Source organism: Homo sapiens, chromosome 5, assembly GCF_000001405.40.
Source record: "Homo sapiens chromosome 5, GRCh38.p14 Primary Assembly".
NCBI classification, from domain to species: Eukaryota; Metazoa; Chordata; class Mammalia; order Primates; family Hominidae; genus Homo; species Homo sapiens.
This window is the reverse complement of record NC_000005.10, coordinates 117,499,713-117,524,921: the sequence shown is the minus strand read 5'-3', so window position 1 is coordinate 117,524,921 and position 25,209 is coordinate 117,499,713. Positions and strand designations below refer to the sequence as shown.

The following is a 25,209-nucleotide window of genomic DNA, read 5'->3' as shown; positions in this document are numbered from 1 at the left end:
TGACTTATATAGCTGGGTCACAAGAAGCCTAACTGATTTCACCTGGGAGCCTAAGCTTCCAAGTAATGTCTAAACCTTTGAGATAACTACACTGAACATCCTTGTCTTATTCCCATTCTTATGGTGAAAATGCTCAATATTTCACCATTAAGTGTAATACTAGCTATAGGTTTTTCCTCCATGGTGTTTATTGAGTTTGACTGAATAACAGTCTTTCCCAAAGATCTTCACATTCTAATTCCTGGGACCTATAAATATATTACCTTATGTGGCAGATGAGACTTTGCAGATGTGATTAAGCTAAGAATTTTGAGTTAGAAAAATTATTCTGAATTATTCATGTAGGTTCAATGTAATGAATAAGTTTGTTAAAAAATGGAAGTAGAAGGATCAAATAATATATATATATATGTGACAGAACTAGAGGTCAGAGTGATGTGCTTTGAAAATGGAGAGAACCTGGGAACCAAGGAATGCAGGTAGCCATTAGAAGCTGGAAACATAAAGAAAACCTCCAAAGGTTCCAGAAGGAACACGGCCCTGCTGACACCTTCTTTTTAGACTTCTGACGTCCAAAACTATGAGAATAAATTTGTATTGTTTTAAGCTACTAATCTGTGGTAATTTGTTGCAGTTACATTGGAGAACTAATGCAGATTTAGAAATGAGATTTGTTATTTAGAAATCATATTTAGAAATGTTATTGCAAGAATAATATTGAGTAAAAATTGTACAAATGGATATTCATGTCTCATTCCCAATCTTAGAAAGAAATTTCTTGATATTTCACCATAAAATATGATGCTAGATGGAGGCTTTTCATATATGACTTTTACAAGTTTATAAAATTTCCTTCTATCCCTAATGTGCTGAATTATTTGATCATGAATAGGCATGATTTTGTCAAATAATTTTTCTACATCTATTGAGATATGATTTTTCTCTTTTATTTTGATAATGCGATAACTTTCATTGATGATTTTAGAATTGTTGATAAATGCTCATTTAGCCATGATGTAGTTTCTCTTCATACAGTTCTGGTTTAAATTCGCTAATATTTTAAGGCACATTTTTGCTTCTATATTCTTAAAGGATATTGGCTTACACTTTCTTATAATATCTTTATCTGGTTTTGGTGTTAAGTTATACCTGCTTCAGTAAATAAGTCAGAAATTATTTCCTCTTCTTTTGTTTTGGAATTTATGTAAGTTGACATATTTTTTCCTTAAATGGTAGAATTTGCCACATAAACCTTCCATGATTTTCATTTTGGAAATTACTATGACTACAAATTAATTTTTAGGTACAGACCTATTCAGATTTCAATTATTCGTGTGCAAATTTTAAGTTGTAGTTTTCAACAAATTTGTCAGTTTTATCTAAGTTATCAATTTTTTTTTTAACTTTTCAGTTCAGGGGTACAAATGCAGGTTTGTTACATAGATAAACTTATGACATGATGATTGATTTTAAAACTGTTTCTATGCGTCAGAAGTCCAGGCGTGGCTTAGCTCTGCCATCTGATCAAAATTCTAGAAGACTGCAATCACCATGTCAGCCAAACTGCAAACTCACATGAAGATTTGGCTAGGGAAGAATTCACTTCTGAGCACATTCAGGTTGTTGGCAGAATTCATTTTCTTATGGCTGTGTCTGAGGATTTCAGGTTCTTACTTGAAGCCACCCTTGACTAGTCCAGTACTGTTGGTGTGATCAGACCCAACACCAGGTCATGGGGGCTATGAAGTCCAGCAGAGTCAAAGGAATGAGAAAAAGACAGTTTGAGAGAGAAAGTGGGACCAGGGGGCTATCGTGAGTGTGGAGACTGCAAAGTCCCCGAGCTCTGGGAGCCCACACTATTTAGTAGTGCTCAAACAGACAAACAGGTGGTGAGGATGTGGGGGTTGAAAGGAAACAGTGTATCAAGTGAATGGGAAACATGGCTGCTTGAGATAATGGGAGTGCTAGAAACAAGGAGCCAGCAAGTCTAGCAGACATGCAAGCCGTGCCTCAGCTTCTCTTCCAACACTCAGCTTTTCTCCCAACAAATACACTTGCAGTTCCCTGCCATATGGCCCTGTTCAGAGACAGTTCACAACATGGATCCTACTTCATCAAAGCCAGCAGGATAGAAAGAGCAAGTCTGTGAGCAAGATGGAGTCTTATACACTATAACATAATCACAGGAGTGATAAACCATCATGTTTGTCATATACTGCCAGTTACAAACAAAAAATAGGTCTTGTCTACAGTCGAGAGGAGGGAATTATATCATGGTGTGAATACCAGAAGGTGAGGATGATTAGGATAAATTCAGGTCTATCTGCCAAAAGAATCTCTTTAAAAGCATTTCTCATCATTGGTCTAAGGCTAAAAGTTATACGTCCTTAATTCATTAAAGTTTGTTTAGAGTCAAGATTGTATCCTTCACATTTTATACTTCCCACTTCCAACTTGACAAATGCAATAACCTTACAATGGTAGAATTCCATTAGCCCATTTCCTGAACCTTCGTGCTATTGTTTTTGTATCTTCATATTTATAATATTAAATATTTGTTGCTCTAACATAAGTTGTATTTTAGGGAAGTTATGAAAAGAAAAAAATTTATATTTACCCATTTATGTATAAATTCTTTCTGATATAGTCACATTTTCAACAAACATCAAATCCTTCATCCTGAAGCACATCATTTAACATTTCTTAACTTGCAGACTTTATTTTATTTTATGTTATTTTGAGACAAAGTCTTGATCTGTCACCCAGGCTGGAGTGCAGTGGTGCTATATCGGCTCACTGCAACCTCCACCTCCTGGGTTCAAGCAATTCTCCTTAGTCTCCCGATTAGCTGGAATTACAGGCATGCACTATGAAGCTCAGTTAATTTTTTGCATTTTTAGTAGAGACAAGGTTTCCCCATGTTGCCCAGGCTGTTCTCAAACTCCTAACCTCAGGCGATAACACCCACCTGGGCATCCCAAATTGCTGGGATTACAGGCATGTGCCACTGTGCCTAGCTTTGACTGGTAGATTTATTGGAAAGTAACTCTCCCAGTTTTTATCTCAAAATGTCTTTATTTTACTGTTAATATTGAAGTATAACTTTGATGTGTATGGAATTCTCAATTGATTCTTTCATCACTTCAAAGATGTTTCCTTTTCTTCAGGCCTTCTAATTTCTTACATAAAGTCATTCATCATGCATCTCATTGTTCCTTTCTTTACAGTGTTTTTTTCTTTTTTTCATTGGTTTTCTTTTTTCTTTGGCTGCTTTAAAGATTTTTCCTTTTTCTTTGGTATGTAGAAGTTCAACTATAATGTTCCCAAACACGGTTTCCTATCTGTTTATCTTGCTTGAATTTCTCTTACAGGAAGGTAAGAGTAACTCAGAAAGTAAGTAACTCAAATCATTTTATTAAACTGGGAACATTTTAACCATTTCTTTTTTCGATATTTGTTCTATTATATTCTCATGATTTTCTCTTTTGGGGTATAAACTTACGTGAATGCTAGATTGCTCAATATTGTGCCATACAGCTCTGTAACTTGATTTATTTTTCTTGAATTTTTATTCTTATTCCTTCATTTTGGATATTTTTAATGATCTGTCAAATATACTGAGTCTCTTTTCTGCCATTCCCAATATGCTGGTAAGTGCTTTTTCAGTGATTATTTATTTATTTTTAGAGACGGGGTCTTGCTCTGCCACCCAAGCTGGAGTGCAGTGGCACATCATAGCTCTCTGCAGCTCCAAACTCCTGGGCTCAGGCTATCCTCCCACCTCAACCTCTTCAGTAGCTGGAACTACAGGTGTGTGCCACCACGCCTGGCTATTTATTTTTATTTTTATTTTTGTAGAGACAGGGTCTCACTATGTTGCTCAGGCCAGATTCAGACTCCTGGGCTCATGCGATTCTCCCACCTTGGCCTGCAAAAGCACTTGGATTATAGCTGTGCCTGGCCCACTTATTGTGATTTTAAATCTAGAATTTCCATTTGGTTTCTTTTCATAATTTTCATTTTTCTGCTGAGGTTTTCTGTCTGTTCACATATTAAGACTTATTAAGGCTTCCTTAAGTACTTCATCATAGAAAACAGTTATTATGCTTTATTCTGTTATATCTGACATCTGGGAGATGTCAGGGTTATTTTATATTAATTGCATTTTTCCATGGATATGGATCACATTTTCCTATTTCTTTGATCATCTAGTATTTTTTATTGTATGGTGAACATATGAGGAAAGAATTGTGAAGAATCTACATTCCGTTATTGTCCTCTAGAGAATGTTAATTTTTATTTCTTTAGTTTGCTCATATAAAAGCTGATCACCTTATTTAGGCTTGTTTGTATGTTTTTATAAGGCAGAATTGTGGCAAGCCCAAGAGGTCCTCCTTTCTCTCTAACTTTGCAGATTCAATCTCTGGTTCTCTCATGGGATCTTACCACGGCTTGTTTTCAGGGATTTTAGGGGGAGTTCAGGGTTTGTTTGTTTGTTTTTTCTAGGGGTGGGGGGTTGTTAGATTGCGACTAGGCCTTACTCCAGGACATGGACTGGCAAACTACAGCCTGTATAGTGCCAAATCAAGCCTGCCTCTTGACTTCGTAAGTGCAGTTTCAATGAAACAAAGTCTCATCCATTTGTTAATGTATCATCTATGACTATTTTGTTCTACAGAGCAGAGTTGAGTAACCATAACACAGACCACATGGCCTACAAAGCTTAAAATGTTTACTCTCTCACCATACCCTGAAAAATTGCTGACTCTTTTATAAGACATTTTTCTTACACCTTAGGTGGGCATTTTATTGCTTCAGATGGATATCCACAACTTTAAGAAAATTCTCTCCTCTTTGGCTGAAATGGAGCTCTAATGTCTCTCACCACTATTAATATCTCTGTTCAGCTCTCAACTGTGAAGCAGCTACTCCCTGGTAAGCCTACCAGTCTTACTCTGTACTTGTGCACCCAAGCCTACAGTCAACAACTTAGAAAAAAACCTCCCATAAATACCTGAGTACTGTATCTGTTTAGTCTCCTCCTCTCTGGTGCCCATTTCTGAATTCTGATCTCTGCCACTTCATTCAATGGGATCATCATACCTAGTGTTAGAGCTCCTTGCACTCTGGTCAGGAGCTAGTCCCCAAGCAAAGAGCAAAGTTGTCTGTGGATAAATCTTGTAAGATTTCCAATGCCAAAGAATTATACTTTTTAATGCCTGTTGTTTATTGCCTGAAAATCAACACCTTATATATTTGTCAAGTTTTATAGCTGACAGAAAGAGAGCAAGTTCAGAACCAGTTACTTCTTCGTGACCTGAAGTGGGATTCCTACCATTCATTTAAATATTGATGACCCTGAAATCAATACATCCTGACAAATCCTCTCTGCTAAGCTTTTAGTACATATGGCCACCTTTCTTTTGGTCAGCTATATGATATCCCATATTGAGTTAGCACAAATTCAAAATGCCATACAAAGATGCATTCCCTTTTACTTCACCCTTCTTTCCCTTCATTATCTGTATCAGTAAATACTGTTACCAACTTCTGAGACAAATATGTGAATTTCAATCTACAACTCAACCTTTCCTTTACCATCATGGTAGACAGAATAATTCTCCCTGACCAAATGTCACATTCTAATCTCTGGAACCTAAGAATACATTATCTTACATTGCATGAGGGATTAGGTTAAGGATCTTGAGATGAAGTGATTATCGTGGATTATAAAGGTGGGCCCAGTGGAATCACAGAATTCTTATGAGAGAGAGGCAAAGTCAGGAAGCAGAGTTCACAGAGAAAGAGTTTGGAAGGCACTGTGCTGCTAGCTTTAAAGATGGAGGAAGGATCTACAGGCCAAGGCATGCAGGTGACCTCTAGAAACTGGAAAAAGCAAGAAAACAGATTATTCTTAGAGTCTGTAGAAGAAACATAGCCTTGCTGTCACTTTGATTTATCTCAATGAAACTGATTTCAGATGTCTAATCTGCAGAAGTGTAACATAACAAATTTATATTATTTTAAGCCACTAAGCTTGTAATTATTTGTCACAGCAGCAAAAGGAAACTAATGTAATCATCAGAAACCAAATTCTGTGAGAACTTCCTCATCTTGTTCATTGCTGGTCATTCCTTATCCCATGTCACTGACTTTTATATGCTTCATCTCCAGGCCTGCTTGACTAGCCTCCAATCTTGTCCTCCTATTGTCAACCAACAGTTTACTTCATAACAACCCTACTCAATAGGTCTTCTCCTATCTGAGCTTCATGATGGTGCTAGAGTAATATTTCTCAGACTATAATCAATTTGTGATTTTTAAATGGATTACAGTGCCCTCAGGGCAAAATCATACCTTCAGACATTGGCACACACGCCCCTTCAGCTTCCCACTGCTTCCTATTCACTGTTCTCAGTGCCCACAGTGCATTTTCACCACTCAGTTCCTCTCCTATCTGGACTAGCATTGTTGTATGTCACATCTTTCGTCCACAAATGAGCTATCCTTTCCTCTCCTCCTCTATTTGGGACGTTCAATACGTATCTGTTGAGTGAATGACTAAATACGATTTCTGAATCAACATGAGCACCAAATTAATTTAAGCTTATGAGCTTGATATTCAGACTAGTGCACATAAATAGATTTGCTTTTTTAAACCACATATTTCTTTACACAAGGCAAAATTATTGTTTACCCACACTTAGCATTCTAATACATCCTTCTCAGCAGTCTAATGCATATTTTCATTGGATAAAAAGAGTATATTTTCAAAATGAAACAAATAATCATGTAAGATTCTTTTATAGCAGTGTTCATTTGCCGACCTGCTTAGGAAATATTTATTAGCTTAACTACATGCTACGAAGCTGGAATTGTGAGAGTATGGCCCTTATCACTGCCTACATACTGACTTGACTTAAACCCTTTCAGAAATGTAGCTGTTGGTTCTTTCATTAAAATCTTAAAAAATTGATGATTTCCTAGTCTTCTTTAAAATTATATCCTGAAAATTCTTACGTTGTATGTGATATATAAAGAAAATAAAATCAACAATTACAACATAGTCCTATAAAAAGTATGCAAACACAGAGAGAGATATATAACTCAGACTGGGATAAGGGCAAGAAGAATGTGGGAAAGAATGCATAAAGCAACAAGACATGAATTGAGTTTGTAGTTGGATTAAGAAAAAAATACTATGGCAATCACAACAAAGGGGATTTAAATAAATAAGTGTATACAAACATGAAACACTAATGTGCATTCAGAGACCTTTCCTTCTGTTTAAGCAGCAAGAGAAAAAAGAGACCTTTCCAATGTTTAATTTTACTGGAGCATGGTGTGTGTGTGTGTGTGTGTGTGTGTGTGTGTGTGTGTGTGTGCGCCTGTGTGCAAAGGATGAAGATAGTCTGGGCGAATAAGAAACTAGTGAGGGAAGGAGGCATTTAGAAGTGCCTTATGAATGTATGAAACTGTATTTATCTTGTAATAAACAGTTGTGATTGTTCACAAGGGTGTGGCATAATCAAATGTGCCCTTTAGATAATAGTCAACAGGATATGGATGGATGAGAGTATGAGAATTTTGACACTAAAAGCAGCAAAATCTGTTAAAGAACATTTTGTACTAATGAAGATGAGATGATGAGATGATTGAAGGGTATGGCAATGGGGATGGAAAAGATGGGTTACACAGCAGAGATACTTAATAATCAATATAGTATGGTATAGTTGAAAGAGTGTGGGCCAATCCCCAGTTCAGTCACTTATTGACAATGTAATTTAAACAAATTAATGCAACTTTGTGAATCTTAGGTAGGGATAATAATACCTACCTAAAATTGTGTTCATGAAATGAGAGATACAAGAATCACAGATCAAGTAACTTGCACAGTTTATGACCACAGATGCTGAGTAAATGATAGCTGTTTGAATCATTCGTATTCTAAACCTGTAAGATTTGGTCCTTTGGTAGTGTAAAAGTAGTAGAAATCTAGGATGAGTCTATGTTCTCTGGCCTGTATTAAAAGATGATTATTGGTCACATTTACTAAGATAGGCAATAAGAGGTAGAAGCAGCAGATTTTTTGCAAGAAAAAGAGTTTATAAAAATATTTCAAATTATCTTAACTACATCAATATTGATTTAGGGTTTCTTCATAGTCACCTTTTTACAGCCTTGGTTTACTTTTCAGTAGCAATATGGTGTAGCAACCAAAAATATGAACTCTGGAGTTAAAATGCCTGGGTTCAAATCTCAGCTTCTTTGTTTACTATATGAGCTGTGTGATCTTGGTCGAGTTTCTAAACTTCTTTGTGATCTAATTCCTCATTTGTAAAATGGGAATACTGTAATAATGTGTCCATCTCAGAGAGTGGCCGTGAAAATAAAGGAACATTTTGTAAATTACTTAAAACAGTGTCTCCTTCTTCTAAGAGCTATAGAAGTGTAAGATATTTTCTTTTTATTTTCATTCGTTGTTTGCTACCCCATAAGGCAAGTTTTCTCAATTTCCTTCCTCTTTTTACATCTTTCTCTAATCCTTTGATAAAAAAAAAAAAAAAAAAAAAAAAAAAAAAAAAGGCAAAAGCTCAGTAGGGAAAGCTCAGTAGGGAACTTAGAAGTCCCTGACATTAAGTTAATATAACAGGTCAAAAGACATGATTATTTTACAAAGTAAACTAGATCTAATGTGTGCAAAGCATCATACATTCACTGTGAGGGTATTGTAGCCTCTACACTTGAAAAATGATATCTCCTCATATGCATAGGAAATTTACAAGGTAAATGTTGCTGAGATTTACAACTGTCAGAAGCCTCAAAAATAAAACTCTCTTCCAGAAGTTTTTCTTTACTTTATTTAAAATATCTAATAAAGGGAAATTTTTATATGCCTAAATCAAAATGTCACCACATTACCATAGGTCTGTAAATGATATGGGTTGGCAAAGAAGCATCTATATAAATTTTTCAACACCTAAATAAATAATATTTTAACTTTGGGTAAGTACAGTTGCATTAGTGAAGAGAGTTGTATGTTTCTAAAAATGATGATAGCTAGTAGTTTTAGAAACCCTATAATTCACTGCTTCACAGAATATAACTTTTAAAGAATACTGCCTACTGTAGTTTATGTGGAGAAAAAACAGATTTGGAGGTTAATTCTGTAATTTATAGTAAGAGAGTAAATTACCTATTATCGTAAGATTTCTCCTTTTAATTTTAAGCATACCTTTTCTAGACACCTGGAGACAGAATTATAGTTCTGAGAGAGCCACGGTTAATTACACCTCTCTGCTCTCAGCAAAAATGTCCACATTTTGACCAACAGAATAACCTGTAGTATATTCCAAAGCCCAGCTCCTACATCTTTGGCACAAAAATTTGCCCAAATATGTCCGTTGAACTGCTTGAGGTTCTCTAGAACATATTTTATAGGTGGTATAAAGTTTAATATTTTAATTATGTATCACAATTACCATTAGTAGATCAGTTTGAAATGAGAATATGCACAAGTGGAAACTTCCATTTTTTAGATATTTACAAGAAAAAAATAGGAACCTAAAAATAATATATATACCTGTGTGCTCTGCTCAGAATAAAAGAATCATAAGACTTTCCTCAAATCTGATTTAGAGAACAAATCAAACATTACAAATAAAGTCAACATTTTTCTCCCTTTGTCTATCCCATTGTTTCTCTTCTACCCAGAGGGGCTTCTACAATAAAAAAAAAATCTGTATGGAAATTTCTGAGTCACTTTAATAATTTTAGATATATGCATACACACACTCAATGTAGTTTGTTTCAAAAGTATTATCTGTATGTAAATTCTATTAAAATGTATATAGTTTTTCACTGTTGAATTGTTTTTCATGTCAACAGTGAGTTCTTGAGAACTATTCAAACTGATATATATCTCATTCATTTAAACTGCTATAATGTTGTTTCTTTGAAAAAATCTATGCATTACCTACAAAGGATTGACAATTTGGATGACAACAGATTTTTCATCTGAAACCATACAGGCCAGAAGGATGCAGCACATGTTTATCAAATACTGAAGGAAAATAACTGTCAAAAATCATTCTTTGTAATATCTACCCATATTCCATGATTTTATCACATACATGGATATGTTTCTGAATTCTATGTCATCTGTCACTTTTTCTGTTTTAATATAGCATAAGTTTAATTATCTAGTTTTAGAAAAAGAGCTGATATCTAGAAATCAATTTCTCCTTCCTTGTTTTTAATATGGGATATTTTGGACATTTATACCTTCACATAAATTTTGTAACCAATTTATTAATTTTTACCAATGCTTATTGGAGCTTGAACAGTGATCTCTTTAAGACAGTGAGTCTTCCTTTAGATGAAAATACCATCTTCCCTTTAATTGAGGATATATTTTGTGGGATTCAATAATCTTTATTTTTAAAGAGCTTTTATACTTATTTATTTAAATTTATTTCTAGAAACCATAAATCTGTTGTTTCTCCAGTGAGCCTCAGTTTGTAATTTCTTTCATTATATGAACATCTCTTACAGATTAAATATGATTTCAGTATTTTAAGATGTGTATATTTCACACAAAACAAACCCTAGCTGCAAGAAAAGTAGATCACGTACCTCTCCATCAAAAAAGCAGGGTTGTATTCCAACCCATGGGGAAAAACGAGCAACAAAGCGCCAGTATTCACTGTAGCACCTTCAATAAGGATCAAGAAATGTTTGAGGGTTATTTTTATCATACCAATGATATTAGCCTTAGAAATATAACCCAGTCTTAAATGTGGCTTCATTGTATTAAATCTAGGACTAATATATCTTGTTTCCAAGAAATTAATTATTAAAACAGCATCTTACCTAATTTTAAAGTAATGGAGGAAGTGAGGAAACAATTGTGAAACTCTCATGTGAATACTTTAATATTTAGTGCAATAGTGTTATGGGGCTTTTTGGCAACCTTCGTGTGTTATGCTTACGTTCTTCAAATTTCCAAATGTATGCAGCCATCCACGTAGAAGACTTACTTCAACTATAGCAAATAAAAGACCTTTTTGCCATTTGAGAACATGGAAGAAATATTTATAGCTTTTCCAAAGAATAATCCTAGTAATTTTTAGGCCATCAATCAAGATTTCCTAATCAACTTACGTAGAAGAAACTGGCATTGCTATATTCTGGTTTGCACCCCTTTAAATCTGTGAATTTTTAACAAGACAAAATTGGCTTAATAGCTCCTTTCCTAACTCACTGCACACATAAACTAAAAACTACTTCAACGTATTTCTAGGAGGTGGGTTTGTGTGGTTACTTATCCAAGCCTTTTTTTTGGACATTGCTATTTCAAAAAATATTGCTCTAATGATATTATCTATGTCCTGTGTAGAGGTGCCATTTACATGGCCTGGGCCTTTGTTCCAAGTACAGTGTTTAATTTATTTACTAGTTTAAGAGCTAAAGAAAGAGTTATATTTAGGTATAGGAGTTATCAAATTGACTGCTTCAACCATCTCTTTTTAAGAAAAACAAGTGCAATCAATTTTATCCTTCCATATTTTTCCACATGGTTGCCAATGTCTTCTCCTATACTGGATTAGAGTATATTTTTGATTTATAATTTCCCCTCTTGGTGATAGCCTCTTATGAAATAAATATGCTGGAAAGAATAATGTACAGTAATATGGAAAGAAAAACAGAAGTGAAGAGAAATAAGAAGTAACTACTTGGGAGTACCTATTCAGTGCCTAGTAACCTCATTAATCATTAAAAAAAAATCCTGGGATACAGTTTCTATTTCACAGAAGAAAATTAAGACCTCGAATTAATTTTATCAAGTCCACACAACCAAGAGGGATAGGATAAGGAATTAAAACCAAGACTCTCTAACTCAAAGATCTAAGTTCATTTCATTTTTAGAGTGTTTTTTACAACCCTGTTGCAAATGGCCCTAGGGACATTTTAGAAATCTGTGAGGGCATTTTTGATTATCAAAATGTTTGTGAGTGACTTCTGGCATTTAGTGTAGTGTCCAGGGATAGTGTCTTAAATAATATTGAGATTATTTTAGCCATAAATTACTTGTGTGCTATGAGACTTTTGAAATTTTCACTAGAGATTATCAAAGAAAACCACCTGTTAATAATTTTACAAGCCTCAAGTCTAACACTCTGCTTTCCATATAAAAAGAAGGATTTGTGTAAGTTTTAATATATGTTAATTTCTCCAGAAATATAACACTGGGTAGGTCAATAGAAGATTGCAATTTGTTTTTTTTGGAAATTTTTCCAAAGTTGTTCACCATTTCAAAGATCTCTTTGCTCAAGGCATTGCTACTCATGGTATTTAACTTGCCATAACCATTTAAGTCACCTGTATCAATTTTCAATCATAGCTTGCATAGTCATGTGCTTATATAGTCCTCACATTAAAATGTCAAGTATAAAGAAAAGGTGTCAAAATATTCTATTGGTTATTATTTTTATTCCCCTAAAAACAACTTTATTCATCATAAAATGCCGTCAAGCATCTGGCTACTTCATTATGTCAACTAATGTAGTTATTCCTATATGTTTTAATAATAAAACATTATTTTACTATAAATTATTTTTCTTCAATTATTAGAAAGTTATATTGAAACTTTAAACTGATCCGAGAAGGTGAGATAAAGAAATGTGGAGTTCATTCAAGACATTGAAGGGATCATTGGTTCTGAAGGAACTGAGAATCACTGCTTTACATTATGATGTAAACTGTGATATGGTTTGTGCTGAGAAATTTCTAGATGTAAAAATGTGGCTTTAAGTATGGGCCACAAGTTAAAAGTGTCCACCAGAAAGCAGCAAAATGGCTTGGGTGTTGGAAGTGATTCTCTAATATCTATTCTATCCCCCCGCATTGTTAAATAGCTTAAAGGTTGAAGACTACTCCATTCTGGCCTATTACTTGAACTGGAATTAAGAAAATACCATTTCCTTAATAGAATAAGCATGTAGACACTTCTGACAAATAATATAAAAGGATAAAATAGCTGTAGAGTTGTGAGAATGTCCTCTTCAATCCTTAAAGAGAGAATTGAGAAACGTCTTTCTTGTGCTCGTCATTTTTTTGAGTTTGTTTTTATATTTATTCATTTTCAATGGCTTATTAGGGTATAATTGACATATAAAATGGTGTATGTGTAAAGTGTACAACTTTTTGTTTTGATATATGTATACATTGTAAAATGATCACCACATTCCACCTAATTAACATACCTATCATCTCTGCATAGTTACCATTTGTGTGTGTGTGTGTGTGTGTGTGTGTGTGTGGTGAGACTTAATTTAAGATGCATCCTCTTAACAAATTTCAAGTATACAATACAGTATTTTTAACTATTGTCACCATGCACAGCATTACATCTCCAGAAATTATTCACCTTGCATAACTAAAGCTTTACACCCTTTGGCCAATATCAGTCTATTCCTCTCCACCCCTTTACCTGGAAACCATAATTCTACTTTCTTCTTTATGACTATACTCTGCTAGATTCCACATATAAGAGAGATTGTACAGTATTTCCTCCTGTGTCTTACCTTTTCTGCTTAGCATAATGTCCTCCCACTCCAATTATTGTTGCAAATGGAAGGATTTCCACCCGTTTTAAAGGCTGAATAATACACACACAAACACACACACACACACACACACACACACACACACACACAGAGTTTTGTGTTTTTTTTCCTGCATTCATCCATCAGAAGATATTTAGAATGTTTCCATGCCTTGGCTATTGTGAATAATGATGCAACGAACATGGAAATGCAGATACCTCTTTCAGATAGTGACATTACTTCCATTGGATATACCCAGAAGTGGAATTGCTGGATCATATGGTAGTTCTATTTATAATTTTTTGAGGACGTTTCATATTTTTTTCATAAATGGTGTACTAATTTACATTCCCCTCAACAGTATGCAAGGGTTCCCTTTTCTCTGCATCCTCACCAACACTTGATATATTTATCTGTTTTGTAATAGTGATTCTAACAGCTATGAGGTGGTATCTCATTACGGATTTGGTTTGCATTTCCATGATAATTAGAGATGTTAAGTACCGTTCAGTATGCCAGTTGTCCATCTAAATTTCTTCTTTTAAGAAGCCTATGTAGGTCCTTTGCACATGTTTAAGTTGGGTTATTTGTACTGTTGGTATTAAGTTGTATGAGTTCTTATATATTTGGATATTAATCCCTCACTAGATATATTATTTGCAAATACTTTTCGCAAATATTCAATATGTTGTCTTTTCATTTTGTTGATCATTTCCTTTGCTATTCAGAAGACTTTTAATGTAATCCCACTTGTCTACTTTTGCTTTTATTACCTGTGCTTTTGGTGTCATATCCAAATGGTGATTACCAAGACTAATATCAAGAAAGTTTATCCTATTTGTTTTGTTTGTTTTAGGAATTCTACAGTTTCAAGTTTTATATGTAAGTGTTCAATGCATTTTGAGTTGACTTTTGTGTATGGTGTGAGATAGAGTCCAATTTCATATTTTAGCATGGGGATATCCAGTTGTCCCAACACCATTTGTTGAAGAGACTATTCTTTCCTCTATTGTCTGTTCTTGGCAACCTGTGAAAGACCAATGTGGATATTTTGACAATATTAATTGTGCTCAATCCATGAACATGAAATGTCTTTTCACTTATTTGTATCTTTAAAAAAATTATTAATGTTTTATAATTTCATTTATTAAAATGTCTACCTTTTGGGAGGTTTTTTTCATGAAACAATATTGAATTTTGTCAAATGCTCTTTGTGCATCTTTGAGATAATCATGTGGTTTTTGTCTTTCATTCTGTTACTATGGTGTATCATATTGATTGATTTTCTCATGTTGAAACAACTTGCATCCAAAGGATGAATCCCAGTTAAACATGATGCCTCATTCTTTTAACGTGCTATTGAATTTTGTTTGCTAGGATTTTTGCATCTTTATTCATCAAGGGCATTGACCAACAGTTTTTATGTATGTCGTTTCTGTCTGGCTTCAGAATCAGCATGATGCTTTTCTAATAAAATGAGTTGGAAAATGTTCACTCTTTATCTATTTTGTTGGAAGTGTTTAAGGAGGTTTGATATTAATTATCCTTTGAATGTTTGGTGGAATTCAGCTGGGAAGTTATCTGGTCTTGGAATTTTCTTTGTTGGGAGGATTTTGATTACTGATTCAACTCCTTGCTTGTTTTGGTCTATTCAGGCTTTCTGTTTCTACTTGATTTAGTCTTCATAGGTTGTATGTTTTCAGGAATTTGTCATTTTTTAAGTTTACCTAATATTTTGGCATATGATTGTTTATGATATTCTCTTATTCTTTTCATTTCTGTGTCATTCATTGTAATATCTTTTTATTTCTGATTTTAAATAATTTTTTTCTTTATAGCCTATCTAATGGTTTGTCAATATTATTTTTTTAAAAACTATTATTTTTTTTAAAACTACACTTAGTTTTATTGTTTTTTTCGGTTGCTTTTCCAGCCTCTATTTCATTTATTTTTGCTCTAATCTTCAATATTTCCTTGTTTAACTTGTTGCTTTTCTAGTTCTTTAAGGTATAAAGTTAGTTGTTTTAAATTTAGATTTTTTTCTCTTTAATAATCTAGGTTCTTAGCAGTATAAACTTGCCTCTTAGTACTGCTTTTGCTGCACCCCATAAGTTTTGGTAGGCTGTATTTGTATTTTAGAATCACATTTTTTAAAATATTCTTATTTTATCATTTATCCAGTGGTTTTATAATTTCATTTATAAAATGTCTACCTTTTTGGAGGTTTTTTTCATGAAGCAATGTTGAATTTTGTCAAATGCTCTTTGTGCATCTTCTTTGTTGTTCAAGAGCGTGTTGTTTAGTTTCTACATGTTTTTAAATTTTTCTGTTTTATTTCTGTTACTGATATGTGAAGATACTTGGTACAATATCTTATATTTAAGACTTGTGGTATAACACGTAATCTATCCTGGAGAATGTGCCATATGAGATTGAGAAGAATGTGTATTCTGCTGATATTGTCTGGAAATTTCTTTATGTGTCTGTTAGGTCCATTTGGATATGTGAACATTCTTATTGAGTATAATCTAAGGGAATTTCTAGGTCATGGGTTTTCATATGTGTAGCTTTATAAAAGTCCTGCCATGTGTATTGTACAAATTTACACTTTCATCAGTTGGGTATAAAAGTTGTAATTGCTCCACAATGCCACCAACATTTAGATTTTTCAGTTTTTTTTTTTTTATTTTAGCCATTCCAGTGCATTTATATTTGTATCTCACTATGATTTTAATTTACATTTTCCTAATGACTGATGAAGTATAACATATTTTCATACTTTTTGATCACATATATACATTTTTGCAAGGTTCAGGCCTTCTGCCTATTTTTCTATTTGGGTGTCTATCTTTTTTTTCTATTGACTTATAGAGATTTTTGCATATTCTTGATATCAGTTTTTGTATTAGTTGTATGTATTACAAACATTTTTAATTAAAAAAATTTTACTTGTAAAAATTCATGGGATACAAATATAATTTTGTTACATGACTGTAGTGCATAGTGGTGATGTCAGGGCTTTTTGTGTGTTCAGCACCAGAATAATTTCTTTATGCAGAAAAATGAAACTGGACTCTTATCTCTCACCATATACAAAAATCAACCCAAGATGCATTAAAGACTTAAGTGTAAGACCTGAAACTATAAAAATATTAGAGAAAATCCTAGACAAAACTCTTTTGGACAATAGTCTAGGCAAGGAATTCATGAGTAAGACCTCAGGCAAATGTCTTTGATTTTTTGATGTCATTGTTCAAACACTGTATGTAGCAGTGTTGTGCTATGTTTAACAATTGGCTCTTTAGATGTAAAGGATGCCCTAATTTATATTGTTTGATAACTTTTGCGGTGGAAATACTCTCTGCATGGCAGATTTAAGGTAACAACCTTGATGTCACTAAGCAGAGTTGGGCAAAGATGTGGAGTAGTACATTACATGGTATTTTCACCATAGAATTTAGAAGTAAATAACTTCAAGAATATAAACAATAGTATAATAATTAGGAAATAATGAGTTATATTTATTACCTTTAATTTTAACATGATTTTATATAATTTGATTTTGGGCAATGGCTGTGTTTAATAGCCAGCTTACAAAACTCCAGAAGATTAGCTGGTAATTCTCACAAGCCCGTACAAGCCATCTTTAACACACCACTGGAGTTTACTTATCATGATGCCATCCTGTCTGTGAACTTCTTCCTAAGTAAGCAAGTATATCTTTTTATTATTATTGTATTAAATAATATTTTATTGACACATAACACACAACATAAATGTGCACATATACTGTGTACAGCAGAATGTATTTTCACAAAGCAAACACAATCATGTAACTACTACCCAGACTGAGATATAGAATATTACCACCCCCCACTGCAGAAGTGTCCTGAATATCTGCTGTCATGAACTAACCCACAAAAGTAACCACTAATTTGACTCCTATTACCATGTATTAGAGTGTTTTTGAACTTCACATTAGTGGACTTCCTTTTATATTTTTTTCTGTATAAAAAAGTTACTGTCTATATTTTATATCATATTGTATACTTTACAGATGACATAATACTGCACATCAGCAAGGCAGAAGATCCTCAAATGTGTGACTCACTACAGTGATGGTACATAAGATGACTGTAGTCAGTAATACAAGTACATTACTAAAAAATGGTGAGAAAGTTACTCCTTTTTAATTTTTGTTCTTCCTAAGAATTCTTTGTAAGTATTAAGATTGCTTTTTTATTCTCTCAGTTTACATCAGAGGCAAGCCTATGCCTGTTACTATTAAGTCGTTAACATTTAACCCTTCTTATGTCCTTTCTGACAATTGGGAATCAGGCATTAAATTAGCTTCCTCTGGCGAAGGTTTCAAGGTGGAATTTAATTACATTATTATGTTTTTATTGTTTTACTTTTATATTTATCTTTCATTTATGAAAAATACTAATTTCAGATGTATAGTAGTAATTAAAATGTCCCTTTTAAATAAATGACTTAAATATAAAAATTAGCCAATTTTGTGAAATTTATAACATATTACAATAGATACTTGAATATAGTAAACATTTGGCATTACACTAATGAGTAAGTTTGAGACACTGTGATTGTGAAACCTACTGTCTCAAACAAGAGCAATGACACACAATAATTACTCTGAGGAAAATCAGAAGGAGTAAATGAAGCATTTTGATTTTGTAAAGCCGCATTTAGAGGGACCGTGAAGAAAGAGGATTTGAGGAATTTCTATGTCAAGGGCTTCAGCATCACTCGATTTAGTTGAGGAAAGTTTCCTGGAGGAAGTAGGTTTCAAGAGTGTCTGACAGGCTGGGCGTAGTTGTTCATGTCTGTAATCCCGGCACTTTGGGAGGCCGAGGCAGGCCGACTGTTTGAGGCCAGGAGTTCAAGACCAGCTTGGCTAACATGGCTAAACCCCATCTCTACTAAAAACACAAAAATTCTCCAGGTGTTTTGGTGCGCGCCTGTAATCCCAGCTACTTGGGAGGCTGAGGCATGAGAATTGCTTGAACCCAGGAGGCAGAGGTACCAGTGAGCCTAGATCACGCCACTACACTCCAGCCTGGGTGAAAGAGTGAGACTGTGTCTCAGAACAAAAACAAAAACAAAGAGTGTCTGACAGATTTGGTGGTCCTGATAAGTTCTAGAAAGATTTGCAAACAGAATATCACCTGTCAACACTGTTACTATCATTAGAAATATTTAACTAGGTTATATTTCCAATAGCATGTATAAAACTGTCTCGTATTTTAAATATATGTGCAATATGTTTTATTGAGCACATCTAATAAATATGAATAAAACATATTGGATTCATTTCCATAAGGAATACACAATGCCAACTTAATCTATACCGTAATTACGGCATAGGGATAAGATTATGACTGTGCTGTTTGTGTTAATTGTCTGAATTTATAAGCAAATTCCTCCCAGAATAAATCCTCTGGTGCATCTGTTATGTATTTAGGCTTTTAAAAAATGTAGTTTAGTGTGAGCCAAGCAGGTGTGCAGTTCTCTCACCCATGAGATCACATAAAATGAAAAGATCATGACTGTCCACAACCTCGGAAAAACAAGGATCAAGGAAAGGCACACCTTTTCACTCATGCCAACTGAGTTTCAAATCCTTGGCTCTCTTAAGGAATTCACAAGTGGACCAGTGAACCTGAAACAAGAAAGCACAATTTGGCACAACAGTTCTGATTTTTCCCCCAATATTTTGACATTGAAGCCACAATCAGAGCACTAATTTTGGTTATTGATAGTGAAGTAAAAACATTTAAAAGTAACTGACATTCCCTCATTGGTAATGTGAGCTTGAATGTTTGTGTGCCTCTGCGTGTATCACAAATGTGTGGACTAAACCCACCTTTGATTAATCAAGTAGAGGTATTGTTCCATTTCCCTCAAATATTTGTATTTTTCTCCACTTTTTGATACCCCCCTTACTGTTCTAAAAATTACATGCTACTATTTCATTGTGAGAGGCTTTTTCTCTCTTCCTCCTCTCGTGTTGGTGTCTGTTCTCATATCTCCAACTCAGCAATTTGCTTATAAATTTAGTCACTTCAATCAGCACAAACACTACTCCCTCAAGAGAACAGAAGTTCCAAGCCATTGGAGTCTAGAAAGGAGAAACACCCCCCTAAAATCTGAAAGTTCTTGTGGCTTTTTCCTTACTCTGTGCTTTTAGTATCCTCATCACAAAAGTGGAAATTTCCAGGATAACAGTATAATTAGAAAAGAGTATATATGTCTGTGTTTGTAAGTGTATATGTACAAGAAAAATGCAGCTCAGAATATAGGAGTAAAAAAGTGAATCCCTAATGCACTCCCAGCCATAATAATGACCTACATAGCAAGCAGAAAATAGCTACTAAGGGGCTTAGGGGGTTGCAGGGAAACACAGAGGAAATCAAGGGTCACCCCTTCTTTGTGCCTTTGCTCCACTCTCCTCTATTTAGACTGCTTTCTGAGTTGTTATCTGCTCAATACATCTCTTGCCAGAAACTATCTCATTTTCTCTCAAAAGAAGAGAGATGTCTATTTAAATTATTTTAATACATAACATTTGTTAGATACAGAACTGCTTTGTGACCTCTTAAGTGCTAAACTCAATTGTTAAAGCAATGGTAGGAAACGGTAAAATTGGTTGTTCTGCTGTTTTGACTTAGCATAATCTACAGCTAGTTTTTCTTCTTCCTAATAGCTATGTGTGGGATGAATAACACCCAGTTTGCTTTTATTTTGCAGTCACCATTGGCTCATTAGGCTTCTGGTACATGAAATAACAGTCGCTGATTTACTTGAGGCAGCATATAAGTAAACACCCTCTGTTACACCAACTCCCAGAGCACTTTCCAAACATCTGTAAAGAAATGTTTTAACCAGTGACTCATGTAGCTACATCTGGGGAAGACCTCAGTCAAAGTTTAATAGTATATAATCATCACAGGCAAAGTCATTTGGAAACTGGGATAAGAACTAGAGAGAAATATCAAATTTTATATTTTCGTAGAAATTAAAGGTATGTGCTATTTTTTAAAATCAAGATTACCACAGTCATATTTGTCTGGAAATCAAGAATCTCTGATTCTGGTATCTAAAGAAGATCCGATGTGATAAACAGAGAGCAGTCATCTCTAGTGATTTTGCGCTATTGGATGTATTTGTTGGGAAGAATATGCTCAGCAGGTACTCCTATTGCCTTCACATTTGTAATCCTGGCTTCAGAATTAGAATTTCAAACCTATAGACATATTTATGTTTCATTGTTAGAGAAATATAAGATAAACAAACTTCAGAGATAACTGACTCATTTTGCCTCTTACCATACTGACCATTTGCTACCATAAGTAAAAGGAAAGTAATAAAACCAGTTAATATTTGATTACTATTTTAATTGCCAGAAAAATGTATATTTGTTTCTCTTTGGCATGTTGTTCTTTACATGATGATTTAAACAGAGTCTTTCCCTTCAGGGGATTAACAATTAAGAAACACTGGAACATTCAAAAAATATTTTAAAAAACAATGGAAATAAAAAATTTTTAAAAATTTAAACATGCTAGTTATTCATTATTTGAGGGTTTGGGTTTAAAGAATGCCTTCAAAAATAATTTAAACACTAAATAATTAACATATTAAAAGCCCTTAGATTTATATCATTTTAATTCACATTTCTTGTATTTGTCTCTTTATTTTCTCTTATTTTTTTCTTCATTCATAAATTGAGATAGTAAGATTGACCCCCATACAACAATAAATAGTCCTGACTTTAAGGGCTTTTGAACTAGGCTAAGAATAGGAGACACTCAGAGAAGAACAAAAAGAAAGCAAACAATTTACATAGGGTAGGACGGGAAAACTGCATGAAATTTTAAAAAAAAAATAGCAAGACATTAACAATTTAATTTTTATGTTTTCCATGATCAGACGTTGAAATGATTCCTAATGAGGAAAGAGACTGACAGGGAATGAAAGACAGAGAGAGAGAGAGAGAGGCAGAGAGAGAGAAGCAGACTGTTGGCAAAACAAAGTGAAAGTGTCCCTTTCACACAGGAGAGGATGGAAGGGAAAAAAAAGAAAAAGACTGCAATATATATATATATATTTTTTTTTTCTTTTTTTTTCTTTTTTTTTTCTTTGACACAGAGTTTCATTCTTGTTGCCCAAGCTGGAGTACAGTGGTGCTATCTCGGCTCACTGCAACCACCGCCTCTCGGTTTCAAGCAATTTTCCTGCCTCAGCCTCCTGAGTAGCTGGGATTACAGGCACACGCCACCATGCCAGGCTAATTTTTTGTATTTTCAGTAGAAATGAGGTTTCACCATGTTAGCCAGGCTGGTCTTGAACTCCTGGCCTCAGGTGATCCACCCGCCTCAGACTCCCAAACTGCTGGGATTACAGGTGTGAGCCACCTTGCTTGGCCGGCTGCATTATATCTTAACCCAGACAGCTGCTGGTTATAAAGTTAGCTCCTAGGAAAATGATCAGTGAGAACGACTGAAGATGGAAGACTAAGTGCTTTTTGGGTCTTGCCTGGTTGCGATTACTATACAGTACTTTGGAAGACAAATATTGTGTAAATTGATGAAATAAATAAAACTTTGGCAGTATATTTAAATTGCGTTGAAAACCAAAGCACTTCAGGACACTGAGTAGTATTAAATCAATAAAGTGAGCTTTTCTACATATAAATGTATTCTATTCACATCGGTCATTACCCATACTGCACAATGATATTCTGATTAATGCTGCGTGGAGTAGATCTCCCAGATGCCACCCAGATGTTCAAAGAAAACTAATGTTGTTTGACTTAAAGAGAAAAGTATAAATCACATGTACTTTGACATACATAGTGGAGCAAATGGAAAGCCTCCCCATGTGAATTCCATACTTATTTCATAATTGTATTTCAATTAAAAATGAAAGAGAAAATGCTAAGTAGTTCTAGGCCCACATATGAAATAGAAGAGAAAAAATACCATGTAAGTACAGTAAATGAACATACACGGCTAAATATACCTGTTACAATTTAACACTATTAATAGTTTTTGTTGTTTCATTAATACTTTCATTCTAAAACATAATCATATTGTGCATCCCATCACTGTTTGAAGACTACTCCAAAAGTTCAATTTAGCAGGTAGGGAATAATAGAAAGACAAATTCAATCTCCAAATGAAATGAAACTACAAGCCCAGATAGGAAGGAATGTTTTCTAAATTTCCAGTTATCAAAGGCTGTAAAGTTCATCAGACTTTGAGTATGAAAATACAATGTATCAAAATATATACTTGAATTGGGTATTAAAAATAACATCTTTTCCTCTTACTACAAATGGTAAGAAATAAAGATGTCTCTTTTCCAAAATATATCTATAAATCTCCATTTTTGCAGGCCTGTCGGATCCCATGATTATTTGTGGTTTAGAGTTTGTAAAAGAAGTAGTTAAAATACCACTATGGTTTTTTTTGTTGTTATTTTTTCTACAGTAAAAATGGGAAGCAATAGAAAAGACAATACGGATTACGAGGTCAGGAGATCAAGACCATCCTGGCTAACCCAGTGAAGCCCCATCTCTACTAAAAATACAAAAACAAAATTAGCCAGGCATGGTTGCGCCCGCCTGTAGACCCAGCTACACGGGAGGCTGAGGCAGGAGAATGGCGTGAACCCAGGTGGCGGAGCTTGCAGTGAGCCAAGAAAGCGCCACTGCACTCCAGCCTGGGCAACAGAGCAAGACTCCATCTCAAAAAAAAAAAAAAAAAAAAAGAAAAAGAAAAGAAAAGAAAAAGAAAAAGAAAGGAAAACCAGTGGTAGGCTGGTATACTTAACATACTTGGCTATCACAGGAGCCAGGGGTGTGGTGGGGCGGGGGAGGAGAGAAAAAAGCCTGATTCATAGGGTTTGCCAATTTCCATAGTACAAATATTCCCTCCACGGTCAATTTCAAGCTACCAGTGTTTTCTCAATTAACATAGATTGTGAAAAAATTGTGCGAAAATTGGCTCTTGTGAATACTGTCTCTAGAACACTACTGGAAAACCATCTTAGTTACCCACAGAATAGAGCTAGCAATCTTTTGTTAAGGGTCAAGATTTTTTCTAAACCAGGTGGCAGATAGCAGGGTGGGTAGGTAGCTGGAAAATATGTATATAATAAAGTGTGCTGTGCTTCATTTGATTGTAAAACAATGAATATTGTAGGGCATAATATTACTATGATTATGATGAAGAAATATGTTGTAGTGTGCTAAAGAAAAACGAAAGGCTGAATAAAAACACGCCTCAGTGTTGAAAAAGTTTTATCATCTGGCCCAAAAAGTAGAATTTAGCAGACTGATGTTAGGTTTGCAGATAAATTGATCAGAATCAGCCATTAATTTACTGAGCCTAAACTTTCATTTTTTAAATTTTTTTTGGTTACAAACAATAATGTAAGGTAGCACAATTTTTATGCTATTATATATAGATGGATTTAACTGAAAGCGTTTGAGAAGATCTTGTGATCTACCCAGTTTTACCCTATACTGTGCTATGCTATTCTATATGTGTTTACTGTGAGTCTAATGATGTGTCCAAATTTTTCTATTCAGCATGGAGTATAAAACATAGGGCCGGGCGCGGTGGCTCACGCCTGTAATCCCAGCACTTTGGGAGGCCGAGGCGGGCGGATCACGAGGTCAGGAGATCGAGACCATCCCGGCTAAAACGGTGAAACCCCGTCTCTACTAAAAATACAAAATCAAAAATTAGCCGGGCGTGGTGGCGGGCGCCTGTAGTCCCAGCTACTTGGGAGGCTGAGGCAGGAGAATGGCGTGAACCCGGGAGGCAGAGCTTGCAGTGAGCCGAGATCCCGCCACTGCACTCCAGCCTGGGCGACAGAGCGAGACTCCATCTCAAAAAAAAAAAAAAACATAGATACTGTCACTTTCTTAAAAACTTACAATCTTAATTATTACATAATAATTACTCAGAGAAACAAATAATGTAGTTTTCATTTAAGTTTAAAATATCATGTCATATTTTATCTATTAAATGAAACTAAATCTTATTTCTCTTCTTCATGGTGACTGTACGCTCACCACTTGAGTCATAAATTGAAATACAAGGTTTTAAAATTTGAATATTTTCAAGTAATTTAAAAAATTATACATCCCTCTATTTACATTTTTTAACTAAGCCTTATATATCATAACATTTTGTCAGTTACATTTAGCATGAAAATTAGACTTTCACTAACTGAAAAACAAATATGGCTTGACCTTCATTTATATCTTTTGACAGATATCATGGCTTTTTACCATAAAGCTAAATTTAATAGGTAAAAGAGAAGGAAATAAGTGTAAAATCTGGGATAGTCATCATTTTGCTCTAACATTAGTTTCTCCTGCATGAACTCCTCAGGCTTAGCCCCTTTTCTTCCTGAAGATTTACAACATTTCATAACACTGTATGAATTACAAATCAAGATGTACTGTAGAGACGGCACTGTATTGATTTCCTAAAACTACAAGCATCAATCTCACTCACAACGACTTTCAGAAATAACCTGATTCTTTTCTTCTAGCCTGTTTAAATGT

General features: G+C 34.4%; 2 long non-coding RNA genes across 2 annotated transcripts in view; both read right to left on the bottom strand.

Moving 5' to 3' along the window:
* The window catches only part of LINC00992 (long intergenic non-protein coding RNA 992), a 164,233-nt gene that overhangs the window by 54,823 nt on the left and 84,201 nt on the right, over positions 1–25,209 (bottom strand). The window lies entirely within an intron of this gene.
* On the bottom strand, positions 17,108–19,278 carry LOC124901050 (uncharacterized). Its single transcript, XR_007058909.1, has 2 exons — positions 19,218–19,278; positions 17,108–17,309 (listed from the first exon to the last, which is right to left on the bottom strand). It is a non-coding gene; the product is annotated as an uncharacterized LOC124901050 (long non-coding RNA).